The 16,430-nt window shown below is 40.7% G+C and overlaps 1 protein-coding gene across 6 annotated transcripts in view; it reads left to right on the forward strand.

Annotated features, from left to right (window-relative positions):
- Positions 1-16,430, forward strand: part of SNX18 (sorting nexin 18) — a 130,247-nt gene that overhangs the window by 19,202 nt on the left and 94,615 nt on the right. For 3 of the 6 annotated variants that reach the window (NM_001145427.2, XM_047416679.1, NM_001102575.2), the window contains exon 2: positions 6,219-9,626. The exons of the other annotated variants lie outside the window; for them this stretch is intronic. In NM_001145427.2, the coding sequence (NP_001138899.1) occupies positions 6,219-6,220 (2 nt within the window). In that variant the 3' untranslated portion in view covers positions 6,221-9,626. Of the gene's footprint in view, positions 1-6,218; positions 9,627-16,430 lie in introns of those variants that run through there. 6 annotated transcript variants of the gene reach the window in all.

The following is a 16,430-nucleotide window of genomic DNA, read 5'->3' on the forward strand; positions in this document are numbered from 1 at the left end:
TGCATTTCTCTGATGGCCAGTGATGATGAACATTTCTTCATGTGTCTGTCAGCTGCATAAATGTCTTCTTTTGAGATGTATTTTTCAGGCTGGGCGCTGCAGCTTATGCTTATAATCCCAGCAGTTTGGGAGGCTGAGGCGGGCGGATCACTTGAGCTCAGGAGTTGGAGACCGGCCTGGACAACATGGTGAAACCTTGTCTCTACAGTTTAAATTAAATAAAGAGAGAGAGAGAGAAGAAAATTTCTTTTCAGTTGTGTAACTTGGAGAGGCTGCACTACTTCATGTATGAATAGTGTTTTCTTCTGAATTGGAAACGGTACTACTTAATTGTTAGGTTTTTTAAAGAGTATATTCACACTGGTCTGTATTGTCAGCCGCTTTTTAAATCTCTATTTAATGTGCACCTGCACTTTCTTTTCATAATAAAATCGTAATATGCTCATGCTATTCCAGATGCAGCTAACTAATGAAGCAGTTTCAGTTTACAGTGACATTGTCGTTGGAAAATGTTTTTCCCTCTGATTATACCTGTTTATTATTTTCTTTCATCTTAAAGCTGTTCCCCTAACTATGAGTACTGTGGGATCTTTTGTTTGTTCTAACAGTGATGTTTTTGACCTTAAACTTCATTATATAATTGCTCCCCCATTCTTTCATTTCCGTCTTCTGTTTTGAAAGCAGAGTGGTGGCAATATGATGTTTATGAGGGGAGGGGGCTGGCAAGGGGGCATGTTCCTCCTAAATTAGCCACTTAAAAAGCAGAGCTTTCAATGCTATTGCCTGTTTTCATATTGATTCCATCATGAAAAATGTGTAGTCCTTGTGTTATTTAGATTCTGGGCAACATTTTTAGTTTTCATTTACACTCCTCGGGTTTGGTTAAAAAACAATGCAGTACAGCCATGAGAATGCTTTAAAAATGCTGTCATACTTTGTTACAGCTCTGCAGCTGGTTGTATTGTACCTCTGCAGTTGTTTCTTAGGCAGCTACAAATTACTTAATTTCTAAAGCTATCCTAGAAGTAGCAAGTCTATGATGATCTAACTCTGCTCCAGTAGTTTCCGCTTCCAACATGCTAGAGCTGAAAATTTTGCTCTCTGCCTTTCTTGTGATATTTAAAATTTTGAATATGAAGATAATTGTGAAGCCTGAAAATATGTACACATAATTCCCAGTTTGAGCAGTGTCAGATCAACTGTAAGAACCCAATCATTTGTAACAAAACCCAGATTCTACTTCTAATAATAATACTATTTCACTCACATCTAGCCAACACTTGTAATATTGTTTCTATTGGAAAAATATGTTTCCACTTTCTTTTCTAGTGAACTCAGAGCTTAGGAGCTCAGTGGGCAGAGGCGGGTAGAGGGAAGCTTCCTGGGAACCCCAGAAAGTGGTTCTGCGTGTTAGTCCCCAAGTGTTAAACACTCATGCTCTCTGTCTGTGGATCACTTGAGCTGTTTAAAAGATGTCATATTTTTTTTTCTGTTTACTTCTAGTCAGAACTAGTCAATTGACTTCCATAATTAGCTTACCGTTTTCATAGGGAGGAAAGCACTGATACCTTTACTGTTTGTTAAAAGGTGTACAGAAAAAACTAATTGGAAAGTTGTGAGATGAATTTTTTAAAAAACAAATTACTTTCTTGGGAAAAGATGTATATATTTTAAAACTTTGCAAAGTATTTTATAAGAGTCAACTTTTTTTATTTGGCTTCAGATGTTGGAAGACCCTTGGCATTGTCATTCTGAACATTAACAGCCATTCGCTTCAATTCAGGATATAATCAGGAACTCTCGATTTTTAATTTGTTTTAAGTATATTACTATCAACTTGTTTTATTGCTAATCATCTTTTAACTTTCTTTTGAAGGTGGATCTGGGAAAAAATCAATTTAGTTACATTTCAGTTAAAGGAAGTTATTTTTGTTTTTTAAACTTGTTCTACATTTGTGGGTACAATTTTATGGAGACATAATCTTCCTTGATTACACGTAGCTCTCCTTACTCTTTAAATTTGTACATTTAAAGTATGCTATTTAATACCTTCATTGACCATTTTATATAGTTTTTATTTTTTAATTTTTTAGACAGGGTCTCACTTTATTACGCAGGCTGGAGTGCAGTGGTGCGATCATAGCTCATTGCAGCCTGGAATTCCTGGACTCTCCCGCCTCAGCCTCCTGAGTAGCTGGGAGTACAGGTGTGCGTCACCACACCTGGCTAACAGTTTCTCTTCTAAATAGTTGTAGTGCTTGCTTTGAAGTCAGTTATGCATTCAGATCCCATCTCAGCCTCCTGCTGGGTTACCTGGATGACTGTCAGGCTCAAAGATGTTGAGTAACTTCCTCAATTTCCTTGTAGTAAAACTAGGAGTAATGTCTGTTGTAAAGTTGTAGTGAAGATTAGAAACAGTAGATGGAAAGTGCCTAGCATATGTTATTACTATTTCTAGCAGCTACCATTTACTGTTCAGATATTCTATTCCCTGCCCTCCACCCTGCCACCATCCATAGTGCAGTGCTGGGCATGTAGCAGGCCCTCTGAGCATTTTCCGTTGTCACATTGGTCACGTTATCTTGGAGAAAGCCATATTCAACTCCCATGCAGAATTGTGCTTCATGGACCTATTTCACTTTGCGTCAGGGTAGTGTGCCTGCCCTGACGGTGCTTTGTGGTGTGTCTCCTGTTTGAATCTCCCTGTTCTATCAGTGTGCTCTATACATGCCAGCCTTTCCATAAATGTTCACGTTAAAATTCTCACCCTGGAGCCCAACCTTTTGGGGACTTTTAAAAATAGCAACATTTTGTGTTATTCACTTAATAAATTCATACTTGGGAAAAAATGAGTCTTTGGGTTTTTTTGTTTTGTTTTGTTTTGTTGTTTTCTTGTTTTTTGTTTGTTTTGTTTTGTTTTGTTTTCTTGAGATGGAGTTTCGCTCTTGTTGCCCGGGCTGGAGTGCAATGGTGCGATTTCGGCTCACTGCAACCTCCGCCTCCCGGGTTGAAGTGATTCTCCTGCCTCAGCCTCCCGGGTACTTGGGATTACAGGCGCCCACCACCACACCTGGCTAAAAATGAGTCCCAAATTCTTCTTGGCTCCTCTAGTATGTATGCTTAGGAAGCTTGAAGATATTACATGCTGGCAGATCCTGGGGCCTCAAAGAGATGTTAATACTTATTGCTGTATCTGAGACTTTGGAAAATGTATGCTGATTTAATAAGTTGTAAAAACTTTAGACTTGTTCTTTTTTTTTTTCTTCTTTGAGATAGGGTTTTACTCTGTCACCTAGCAGGCTGGAGGTGCAGTGCTGTGATCACGGCTCATTGCAGCCTCAACCTCCTGGACTCAGATGATCCTCCCTCCTCAGCCTCCTGAGTAGCTGAGACTATAGAAATGCACTGCCATGACTGGCTAATTTTTTGTATTTTTCATAGGGATGGGGTTTCACCATGTTGCCCAGGCTGGTCTCAAACTCCTGACCTCAACCCATCCCCCTGCCTCAGCCTCCCAAATTGCCGGGATTTTAGGCATAAGCCACCGTGGCAAGCCCTGGACTTGTTGATTTTTAAATTGGTTGTTACGGATGGACATCTGTAATTCTATATAACACAGTGCAGTTTGTCAAAATATGGTGAACTAATTTGGAGTTTGACAAGCTGCAACTTAGTTGACAATCACCCAATTCAAGGCCAGGTTTCAGAGCTTCTCTATACTGGACTCTGTTCTCTATGATGAAAAGCTGGGCTCTAGTAATTAGAGCAAGTAATACTTGCAGAATATTACCAGTGCAGGCAACAACTGTTAAGACAGGTCAGGATCTGAGCAGGGAAGGATCCTGCGTACTGGTCCTTAGCATTTGAACATGGGACTGGCTTCCTCCAGTACCTTGGATTGAAATCAGATGAAAATATAGTCAAATCACTTGAGATTTTTCTCTTTTAATTTCCTATTCTCTTTATCATTATAAAACATGTATTTTATCGCTACACATTCTCAGTCTTTCTGAATTTTTTTTTCCTTTAGTTTTACCTGTTACACTTTCCTGGTCTTTTCTTTTTTTTCTCTCTCTCTTTTTTTGAGACAGAGTTTTGCTCTTGTTGCCCAGGCTGGAGTACGGTGGCGCAATCTCGGCGCAATGCAACCTCTGCCTTCCGGCTTCAAGCGATTCTCCTGCCCCAACCTCCCGAGTAGCTGGGATTACAGGTGCCCGCCACCACGCCCGGCTAATTTTTGTATTTTTAGTAGAGACAGGGTTTCACCATATTGGCCAGGCTGGTCTCGATCTCCTGACCTCAGGTGATCCACCCACCTCAGCTTCCCAAAGTCTTAGGATTACAGGCGTGAGCCACCGCGCCCGGCCCTCCTGGTCTTTTCAACTTCAATTTCTGTATATGAAATGTGAAACCTGTACAAATATAACAAAGATAAATGTTTTGCAATAAATTATTATTAATTTTTTATGTTGGGGAGATGTCTTTCTCTTCAAGCAGGCAAATGTTAGTGCTTTGCTGATACTGTCAGCCACAGTAGAAATGTTTAAAGGGCCCTATTTTCAGAGTGATGGCTTCTTAGTAGAACTGGGACAGGGGTCTTCCTCTGTCTAGCAGAGTGCATTTCTCTGCCATGGGTTAGGTGGAAGTGGTGTGGGTGGGGCATGTGTGCTCTGTGCACCTGCAGTACATGTGTTCTTGTTTCAGGACTTTGCTGCTTTTCACTTAAAGGTCTCATTTAGAATAAATCAATGAAAATAAATGTGTACATATGTGCACACCTACACGTACATATATATGGATGAAATTTGCTGTTGGTGCTTTTTCATTTCTCAGGTCTTTGAACTATGCCAAAAAAGCATACTGCTTTACGTTTAAGGGTTTTGTTTAATATTATATTATTCTTTAGGAGATTTGAAGAAATTTAGAAATAGGGCATCTTCCCTTGTATATTTCACTATTGGGCAAAACAACATTTCCGAAACAAAGTCTCTCAGTTTCTGTACCTCCTCCTACTCAAGGTTCCTGGTTCCCTCCTCAGTAGTACTGTGTTCTCAGACTGCCAAGCCAGGCACTCTAGCTGTTTGTCTCTGTGTTCTGTCTTGCCTTTCAGTATGGTTTAGTGGAATGAGTGCTAGGCACAGTCGGGAAATCTGAATTCTTAAGCTGGCTTTGTTCAAGTGATTTGAGCTTTATTACTACTCATTCCTAAGAACTCAGGAATAGCCTATTTCCTACCCCTAAACATCCTCAAACTTTTGTGTCTTTGTATGACTGTGCTTTCGGGGGAGGGCCTGCGTTCGTATGGCACCTGCCGGAGTGGTCAATCCTTCACCCCCACCCCTGCAACACCCTCTGTTGATACTTCTAGGCATGAGATTATGGAACCGCTGGCATCATTCCTAAGTCATCATTAGGGCAGAGTTAACACTCACCGATCCTTATAGTCCCAAAAAAGGGGCAAATTCTTATTAAAGCCCTTGTACTCCAGGTGTGGGTCTCCCGATGCAACGTGAAGTCAGAATCAGACATGTGTTCGCAATTCACCCCTTCACCAGGCACTTTCTGTGTGCTGAGCACTTCAGCTAGGTGTTTACTCTGGATGACAAGATAATGGGCTAGGCCAGCCCTCATGAGGGTGACCTCCAATTGTAGACTGGCAACATTGCCAAGCACCCTCCATGACTGTGACATGATTCCAAAACACAACCTGTGTTGGTACTAACTTGTTTCAGAGACTGGTTCTAGAGTCTGAATTATTTAGTGAGACTTTCTGAGGAAGTGGGTTTGGATCCTTTATGGGATGTTTTTATAAACAGTATAATTCTCTTAATATATGTGGAAATAATGATGTCACACCTTTTGAGCCTGTGAAAACTGCAGTTTCTTGTTGTGTCTTTTTAAGGACATTTCCTTGCAGTTTATTATCAGTTATGTATAGCATCTCTACTTGGAAGAGATGGGATACTACAGATTCTTGGTCAATGTAACAAACACTAGTTTTTGAAGAGAAATTTTAACAAAGGGAGTGTTTTCAGAAACTTTACCAGATTCCTTCTTTTTTTAAAATGAGTAATTATGGTCCTCACTTTAAATTTCAAAGGTATTGAAAATAGTTTGGGCAACTATTTATAATGCCCAAGATTCTGTTTAATATGTAGTTATGTTCTTGGGATATGTGGATATATAGGTTTTTAATTAATTGTTATTTTTAACTACAGGAGCTCTTACCAAAGTCAAGGAGAGTAGGCGACACGTGGAGGAAGGGAAGATGGAGGTGCAGAAGGCTGACGGCATTCAGGATCGCTGTAACACTATTTCTTTTGCCACTTTGGCTGAAATTCACCACTTCCATCAAATTCGAGTGAGAGACTTTAAATCACAGATGCAGCATTTCTTACAACAACAAATAATATTTTTCCAAAAAGTTACCCAGAAGTTGGAAGAAGCTCTTCACAAATATGATAGTGTTTAATGACTGGACGTTGGATTATGGACTTTTTCAGTTCAAGGATAATTTCTACAGCAGAATAAAAACTGCTGTCAAAGAGCTATTGCCAGCTATCAGTGGTGGTACAAGGACGGTTTTGTGTTCATCTGAAACCCAGCTGAATTTATAATTATGTAGGAAATAAACAGTTAATATGGTTATATAATAGAAACAGTACCACACATTGTAACTAAATTATACTATGTATGCCTACACTACCATTGTAACTTTTGGAATAATGATTATACTATTTGCCTTATTGCTTTTTGAAGTATGGGTATTTTAGTGCATACTTTGTAGACCTCAAAACCCATGAAGGGTCTCAAAGAAGCTGGCTGGATACAAGCCTGCTGTGGATGCCTTTTTACTCTCATAGATTGGGATTACCTAAATTCAACCTATTCTCTGTTTACAAACTCCAACTAGAGCAGCTATGCGACCTTGTGCCTTTAGACTCTTGGTTTTTCATTTCTCCCCGTCCCTTCCCCACCTTTTTAAAGTAAGCCACAGCTTTTCTGATTGAAAGAGTGAAAGGCCAGTGCATATAATGACAAACTGATGATAACCTTATATTGGCAGTAGGGGGTGGGGGGGGCGGTGGGGTGGGACGATCAGCTGTCATCAATTTGCACAGCAAGTATTATCTCCTGATAAGATGCTGGTGAATGCAGGGGAGTGAGATTCATTGCTCATCTTTGGATATGAAGTCTGTTAGGGAAGAAACAGTGCCACTATTCCCTTAGATGCAACAGTAGCATAGCCTCTTCACCCAGGCGTCCCAAAAGCTTGGCGTGAAGATTTCAGCAAACATGTCTTACAACATGAGGAGGAGGAGTCTAAATCAGTCAGGGGATAAAAGTATCGAATCATTGACAACACACACTTGGCTTTAGTTCTTAGGAGGGTTTTGTTTTTGTTTTTGTTTTTAGGTTGAAGATTTTCTTTTAATATTCAGTTTTTTGAAAAAAAATGGATCTACACTGTTAACTGATTGAGACTCCACTGTGATTCACTTGTTTACTTAAAAACTTTTCAGGGATGTCTGTAAATTTCAGTGTTAATATGTCATGAAAAGTGGTGTGGATTGATCTAAGGAGGGACCAGAAATAATTTTTGCTATTCCAAATACTGAAGGAAAAAGATAATTGATTTATACTATGTTTTAAAAAAAAAAAAGGTATTGATGAGCCCCCCCCCCCCAGGACATTTAACCTTAAAATTTATTTTAAATGTATTCTTTTATTATTATAAGGGAAATACAGATGGCTGATAAATACCAAAAAGATTCAAAAGCAGCTTAATTTAAAAAGCACAAAGAGATTCTGGCTTACAGTGCCCCAATCTCAATGTTTTTATAGTTGCTGAGCTAACTAATGTGATTATTGAGTTTACAGATTTAAAAATTGTCACTGTTAGAGTATCTACTGTTTTTATGAAGTCAAACTTATGCTGCCTCAGAAATCCCTGGGTACTGAAATGGTAACATGGAAGTGAAGAGGTCACTTTGAAATATTGGTGAGTCACAAAGATTAAAGAAAAGGATCAGTTTGCAGATACTCAGAAAAGGTTATTGAAATAATTACTGAACAGCACATTTTCTCTCTAAAAAGTAGTTTCATATGGGTTGTATTTTTAAGATCAGATTATCATTTTGATATTTGGTCAAAATTTTGTACCTTAGGTTACTTAGAGCCAGATTTAACATCATGAACATTATGTGGCTTTGTCTTTACTACAGATATGTGGAACTGTAACCAAATATGTTGTCTCTAAAACTTGTTGATTGCAAAATACAGTTCTATAAACAAAACCCATATGTATATATAAATGTTAATTTTGCGGAAGTCTGGAAATTATAACTATAGCATTTAAGTTTGAGTCTGTATTGGACAAATAAGCACCATGCTTTTCAAATGATTTAAAAATTACTTTTATTTGCCTCTTTATTTTGATGGTGGTTGGATTTTTTTTTTTTTAATAGTAAAATCACTAAACTTGTGCAATGGTAGCATGGAAATTATCTGAGGTATATTGTATGATTGTACTTTAGCCAGGGTGGACATAGCTTAAATTATAAAAACTAAAGATGAAAGTACAAGGAAGTATAAGTTATACTTATGTAAGTATAAATTCATGCTGCCTACTTCTAAGAGAAATTTCATTCTTCATAACCACATAACATTATAATGCCACTGATTCATACGGGATTTACATTAATTCTATGGGGGAGGACACTAGAATTATTAGTGTTCATTTTCATCTAAGATCTTTATTCTCTAACGTTCTTGGTCCTATTGAAACATTGCAGTATGCAAAACTACTGCAATGTTAAACCCAAGAGAAAAGCCATTATCATGTGTATGCTGGTCATCATGATCAGTGTGGTACAATTTTTAAAAATAAACTATCATGCCCTTCATGCCATTATTTGTCTTTATTTCTATGATTTATAATCCTGATATGTGATGTGTTTGTAACACAGGGTGTGCACTTGAGCCTGGTTTTACTGTTTTTATTAGACAGAGTTGTTTATATGCTGTAACTGTAACGCAGCGAGACTGGTTCTACAGCCATGTGTCGTAATCTTGTTCCCCGTCCAAGCTGTTGTATCTGAAGGTACCCAGTTTGCACCCAGGATGAGGGAACGCATTCAAAAGTGAAATGTAAAGCCAGTGCACGAATATTATAGTAATTGAGATTTTCCCAGGCTTCACTGATACAGTTGTTTTGCATTTATTCACAATAATACAGCAGATTCTTAAATGCCGATTTTTAATTGTCTTAAATTTTGCTGCTGTTCTCATAATTAAGGACTTGAAAAATGTTTTAGTCTGTCAAGTATGTAAAGTTTGTGTAAAAACTTTTAAATGTCATTCTTAAGTTCATTGCCATAGCCATTTTCCATTTATGTCTTCATTTTCCAAAAATCAAATGCCATGTCTGATACCTTTAAGTCCATAAGCATTCAATTTTCTCATTTCCACCTTCATCTTTGGTTAACAGAATAAGTAAAACAGGGTATTATTTATTTGTAGTCTAGAAATGTTGAATATTGTTTTATTTCCTTCAAAATGTTATGATTAGTGCAGATCAGCCATGTTTATCTTTTTAAAAAATAAACAGGTTGCTTTATTTCTTAGCTTCAATGGAATATAATTATTTTTTCTCCACTCATCAAGGAGGCATTTATTTAATGTGAAGAATTACACAGAAAAATAGAAGAGCATGTTCTGTCTTGAGCTTCATCTGCAGTTACCATAGAAATTATTCATCAAACACTGTAGCTAATTTGATTAATTTAAAACCATCATCATTCAGATAGTCCCATGGAGTATCTGCTTCCATTAGTGACATCAGGAATTAAGCACATAGCAGTAAGTTGTGAGTGAGAGGTTTTGAAATAATAGCTCCCATGAGTCCAATACCTGAGACAGAAGCAGGTGCTTAAGTAAAGTACTTGACATACTGTCTGTTGGTTGCCATAAATAGGCGAACTCCAACACACATAAGCCAAAATATAATAGCTACGGGACCTGGCATATCTTGCAAGGGGCCAAAGTCCCATTTGGCAAAGCTTGCCCTCTTTGTGGGGCTTTGTAGTCTTGTATCTGCTTATCTTTACAGATTTGTTTTACATATATGTTTTTTCTCCTGGCCTGCCTTTCTTAGCATCTTGTAATGTCTAGAATGGCCTAGCCATCTTTTACTTCACAAATATACTTGGACCAGTGATGGACATCTGGACAAATCACCTACGGTTTGGGGAGGCTGTGAGAAGGAGAGCTACACTTAAAAGTATGCAAGAGAAGAAAGGACCTTTATCTGGTTATCCTCACAATGAACCTATGAGGAAGATAATATCTCTAGTTTATAGATGAGTTAAAGAGATCAGTGAAGTCTAATTTCTTTTGACCAAGATCACACAAACTAAATGATGGAGCTGAGATTCAAATTGGGATCTGGCTCAAGCCTATTATTTTTAAACTAGATTACACTGAATGTGATTTCTCTGCTTTTCAGAAATCCCTAACATCTTCCCAAGTCTCCACTCCTGGAATGATAGAGATTCCATCATTCTTTGGGCACTGGGCACAAAAGTACAAAGGGAACTTCCCAGAATCTGCTGTTTGCACCCATTTCTGCTGGGAAAGGTGAGAGTCTGTGCTGCTATGTCTGGTCTCTCAACAGAAGGTCTGACTGCAGTCTTACGTAGACTGGGAAGCATGCCAGATGTTACCTTCCAGTATTGTTATGAAGAGTGAGAGAAAGGGTCCAAAACTGACTGTTTCCCCTTCTCTCCAACTTTCACCTCCATGCAGTGCCAATAGAAGCACATTCCAGTTGCCATAACAATGGCCTTGGCAGAACCACAAGTCAAAAATTTGAACTCCAGTTGGTCAGAGTCAGGGTTACTCATGAGTACCACTTGGCCACAGGTGGGACTCAGGTGAGAGCAACAGAATTTGCTGAGTAATAAGCTCTGGAGAGTTTGAAGAGTGGTGGGGTAGACTTCTAGGCAGCGTATAGAGGGATGCTGCTGTGCTAGGGCTCCATGGGCAGGAAACCAGAAAAACCCAGCAGTGGAAGCCAGGCCTCTGAGGTGGGGGAAGTTAATCTGGGATTGGCTCATGGCTATAGCCTTTCCAGGGATCACAAGTCCTCCCTACTTGGCCCTGATCCCAGGATGTCTCAATCCTAACATCCCTGTGTCAGAGCTTCTCAAACTGCCTGCCTGTCTTAAAGGCCATTTCAGCTTCATTGAGTGACTTGTACCAGAAGCATGCCAAAGGCAAGACCAATTGTCCATGTGAAGCCACCTGCCAAGGGAGCTTAAAAACAAGGTGTGTGGTATTTTGTTGCTGTGTGTCCCATCAGCCTACCCTGGAATTGATCTCTAAGTCTGAAGTGGCCAGATGCATCAGACCTTATTTTTGCAGTGGTTTAAATTTTCTCTCACTCCAGGAAATGGCTCTCAGGATGGAATTGCTGAGTTGTTGAGCTTCTCTGCAAGCTGACCCAGCATATCAGTGAGAAAGGCAGCAATTTGGAGCCAGAGACCTGGGTCAGATCCTAGTTGCTCCACTCTCTGACCTCAGGCAACTCACTAACCCAGCTCTGACCCTCAGTTTCCTCAATTGTATGATTGACTGACTTAGATTGTATTGAATTATTGAGAGTATTAGATAAACCACCATGTGAAGCCTTAACCATTTTGCAATACTCCCTCCATGACAGACATGGGAGATGATAACAATTTTAGAAGTAGATACTTAATAAATGTTCTATTCCTGAACATCATGTGACCATGGGCTAGTCACTTAACGTGAGTCAGTTTTCTTATCTATAATGGGGTATGCAGTCATCCCTCAGTATCTGCAGGGCATTGGTTCCAGGACACCCTCAATCCCACCCCACTCCCTGCAGATAACAAAATCTGTAGATGCTCAAGTCATAGAATGGCATAATATTTTCATATAACCTATGCACGTTCTCCTGTATACTTCAGATCATCTCTTTATTCCTTGCCATGCCTAATACAATGTCAGGGCTATGTCAATAGTTGTTACACTGTTATATTTTTATTTGTATTTTTTTGTATTGTTATTTCTTATTGTTTGAGGTGGAATATTTTCAATCGTCCATTGGTTGGATCCACAGATGTGGAACCCACAGATACTGAGGGCCAACTATAGAATCCCCTTTGTGGACATATTGTGAGAAATGAATGGCAGGTGGAAAGCCCTGAGCCCAAGGCATTGACAGGAGGGATAGAGTAAAGACCCTCTGTGGTTATGTGAGAAAGGAAGAGCTGCAGTATTTAAATAATAAGAACATTGTGTCACCTGTACTATGGAAAATTAAGGAGTTCACCCTTGGGTCCCAGGTAGGCAGAGGTTCCTGCTTTAGCCCTGGTAACTTCACCTTCTGCCCACTTTGCCCACCTGGGTCACAGGACCAAACCCCATTCCAGCTTCTTGTCTTGCAGAGCCCTGGCACAGCATCCTTCTTACTCTGCCTGGAAACCTACTTCTCCACTGCTTCTCAGACCCACCAGCACCTCCTGTTAGGGTGGGGAGAGGTTCAGCTCTCCAGAGATGGCCCTTTGCAGCAAGGCAAAGGAGCCCTTGGTCTCCAAAAGCTAAGTGCTAATATGTTTAAGAATTTGTCCCGTAGCTCTAACTAGGAAGATCTGAAAAAGACAGCTCAGAACTTGTCTTTATTCACCAAATTAATAGTGGTTTTATTGAATTCTTTTCACATCCTGAAAATATGTACTTGGGACCTAGGACAGAGAGAGGCAGCCTACTCTGTGTTCACGTCCCAACCCTGGCCTCGTGTTACATACAGACATTGTAAGATGATGGTCAATGTGTCACTCTGGGAAGTTGAATTTAGTGCCTCTGAGTGGCTTTTGGGGCAGCCATGCCCTGAATCAAAATATTAGTGTAGACCAAGTTTGATTAGGCAACTTGTTTGTTCCACTTTTGTTCAACCCAGCAGTTTTAAAAGAATGCAGAGTCTTAGTTCAAAATGGTTCCCTTTGCTTGAAAAATCTTAAAAACATTGGAGTGCAGTTCAGGATTTACCAAATTAAGGTTCAGCTTAAAGCTGATGGTGCTTCTGTTGGTGTTTGTTCAGAATCTGTATTTTTAGTCACTTTTTAAAAAATTACTTGGCTCCTGTTTGTGGACCCTTGTAAGCCAACTGAGTTACCCAGATGCTAACTACATATTCACATATGGCTATAACCTCCTGAGAGTGTCAGGTCCATAAGTCTGTGTTCTCTGTATGAAACAAAGGACCTATGGGGAAAGTGGAACCTGTAATTCCAGAGAAAAGGAGCTTTCTTCACAAATGTTGCTTTTTAGTGGCTCCTATCCCAGAATCAATGGAAAGAAAATTGGACCTTTTAGGTATTCATGCTGACAGGTGGTCTCATAACAAATTTCTCAGCTATCCAAAGGATGAAAAACTGTAGGTATCTATCATTTTTAAAAAAAACAAGATGAGGAAGCTCTTCATATACCAATACAGAATTTTCCTAAGAAAATTAAATGAAAAAAAGAGGCAGAGAAATATTTGTACGCTACCCTTTGAGCAAAACAAAGCGAATGTGTTTGCTTATATATGCGGTAGATGATTATTATTATTTTTAGATGGAGTCTTGGTCTGTCGCCCAGGCTGGAGTGCAGTGGTGCGATCTTAGCTTACTGCAATCTCCGCCTCCCGGGTTCAAGTGATTCTCATGCCTTCAGCCTCCCGAGTACCTGGGATTACGGGTGCCCGCCACCATGCCTGGCTAATTTTTGTATTTTTAGTAGAGACGGGGTTTCACCATGTTGGCCAGGCTGGTCTCGAACTCCTGACCTCAGGTGATCCACCTGCGTCGGCCTCCCAAAGTGCTGGGATTACAGGTGTGAGTCACTGCGCCTGGCCTATGTGTAGATTATTTATGAAAGTAAATGCAGCAACTTGGTAGCAAGGCAACATTGTTTGCTTTCAGGAATGGGAATGGGGGGCAGGAGAGAAACTTACTGTATTCCCTATTATCTCTTTTGAATATAAACGATTGAATGTATTTCCTATTTTAAAAATAACGAAATGAATGTTAAATTTGACAAGGGGACTAGCAAAAAAAAAAAAGAAAAAAAAAGATGTCAAAAGGTGGGTGGAGCTGCAGCTCTGTGCCAACCCCTTCGAGACCTGGAAGTGAATTGTACAAGGCACAGGAAGAACTATCTTGTTTGGACAGTGGACTCAATGATCAAGTCAATGTTCATTGTGTTACTTTGCAAAAATTCAACAGCATTGGGAAGCGGACTGCTAAGAGAATGTGTAATGTAGGCAGTAAAGACAAATGTCACTGGACCATAGTCTGTTGTTTTATATGGTACCGGGTATTCTTTTGTCTTCTGAACCAAAAATCCTTCTCCTCCTCCCTTCCCTGTGAAGCCTTCCATGAAACTCTAATCCCAGTGTCTTGTCCCTTCTCTGCACTCCGATCACTTTTGTGATGGCATTTTGCAACTAATTACGTAAGATCCTGGGCTAACATCATTTCTTTTTCTTACCACATCGAGTGTTTATTTTGCTCTAGGAATGATACTGCCGTTACGTTCATTCTTTGATCTACGGAACTCTCCTACAAAACCATTTTACAAAGAAGGAAACAGGCTTATAGATATTCCATAATGGTCACATAAAGCGGCAGAGCTGGGAATTGAATGCAGTCACCTGACTCCACAGCTTGCGATCTTAATTCTTTTCCAATTTACTTGAGACTACCAGGCAAACATACAAGCCCTGATTAAGTGGTGATGTGGTGGTCTCCTGGAGGACAAGGCCTATCCTATCCTACACTTTCTCTGGGGTCCCTGGAGCACACCGGGCCCAGAGCAGTAAATACAGCAGAACTGTGGTTTTAGAAACAGAGACCTTTGTGATCCTCTGTGTGTGCACAATCCTAAATTGCCCTCTATGAAAGAAAGAAAATAGTGATATGCTAGCCCTCAGTGTTGGCATCACCAGCACCAGCAGTCAGCCTTCTTAGGAAGGCAGCTTTTCACAAAGACCTCTGTGCTAGTTTCAGGAGAATGGAGGAGTTGGCTCCAGGAGGAGAGAGCAGCCACAGTGCTGGCTTTGTTCCGCTGTGGGTGCCGCGTCTGTCCACCAGCCTGCGGAATTCAAATCTGTGCCTCCGCGACGTGACCCATTACCACGCATCACACCCTTCTGAGACATTCGTGAGCGGCTGGCTGGTGTTTTGACTGTCACATCTGCGTCTGCCAAGTTGCTGCCATTTGTTCTCCTTAAACACATCTAGCAGAGTTCAAAAGAGGCTCAGGCTGATTCCTCATGAAGAAAGCTGGCCTCAGAGGGGGTGGCCCAAGGGGTCTAAAGAGGCTAAGACCAAGGAATTCACCACCATCAGAGCCTTTGGATTCTGAAGCCCTTAATAAGATGAAAAAGTAATAAATCATCTTGCTGGCTCTTTTACTCTTTCAATACAAAAACTTTCAATGAGACCAGACTTCGGACCAGCATATTCTGTCCTGTGGACAGACCCTGTGGGAAACCAAATCATCGTCATCTAAAGGTTGCTGTGAGAAAGGTAGTCACCCCAGTGCCAGCACACATTGGAGTCATTTTGCTTGAAAAGCTTGATGATGCCATCGGCACGGTGGAGACATCCTGGACGCTGGGACCGATAGAGTCCTTCATTCTGCAGATATTTATTGAATGCTTGTTGTGCTTCGGGCACTGTTGTAGGCACTAGGAATATAGCAGTGAACAAAGCCAACAAAAATTTACTTTCTAGCTAGTAGGTGAGGCAATAATAATGAAATAGATTAGTGAACTAGATGATATGTAGAAGGTGGTAAGTGCTATGGGGAAAAAACTAAGCGGGGAGGAGGGAGGGAGTATGAGGAGTGAGGAGAATTTGTTATTTTAATTGAGGTGGTCAGAAAAGGCCTCCGAACCTGAAGACTTGAAGGACTGAGAGTGAAGTATGTGGAAGACCTTGGGAGGAACATTCCAGAGCTTCCACAGTTGGTGCAAAGGCCCCGAGGCAGGAGCACAGCCGGGGACAGTATGGCTGGAGTGGGAGAAGGGTGGGAGGGGATGGGGGTGCAGACTGGTGAGGAGGAGATGCACCCAGAGGTGAGTGGGGAAGGTCCAGATCTTAGAGGGTCCTACGGGCTGCTCTGAGGACTTTGGCTTTTTCTCTGAATGAGATGTGGGGCTCCCAGGGGCGTTGAGCAGGAAAGAACATGATCTGCCTCGTGTGACAAGGGCACTTTGGGCAAAGGCAGAAGCAGAGACCACATTGGAGGCTTCGTGATAAACGAGACATGGTGGCCCACACCAAGACACTGGCAGTGGAGGCTGGGGACCTGGTGGCCACCATGTCCCCAGTATAGAGCTTGGCAAGCACAGCAAC

The sequence above is a fragment of the Homo sapiens genome, chromosome 5 (assembly GCF_000001405.40).
Source record: "Homo sapiens chromosome 5, GRCh38.p14 Primary Assembly".
In the NCBI taxonomy this organism is placed as follows: Eukaryota; Metazoa; Chordata; class Mammalia; order Primates; family Hominidae; genus Homo; species Homo sapiens.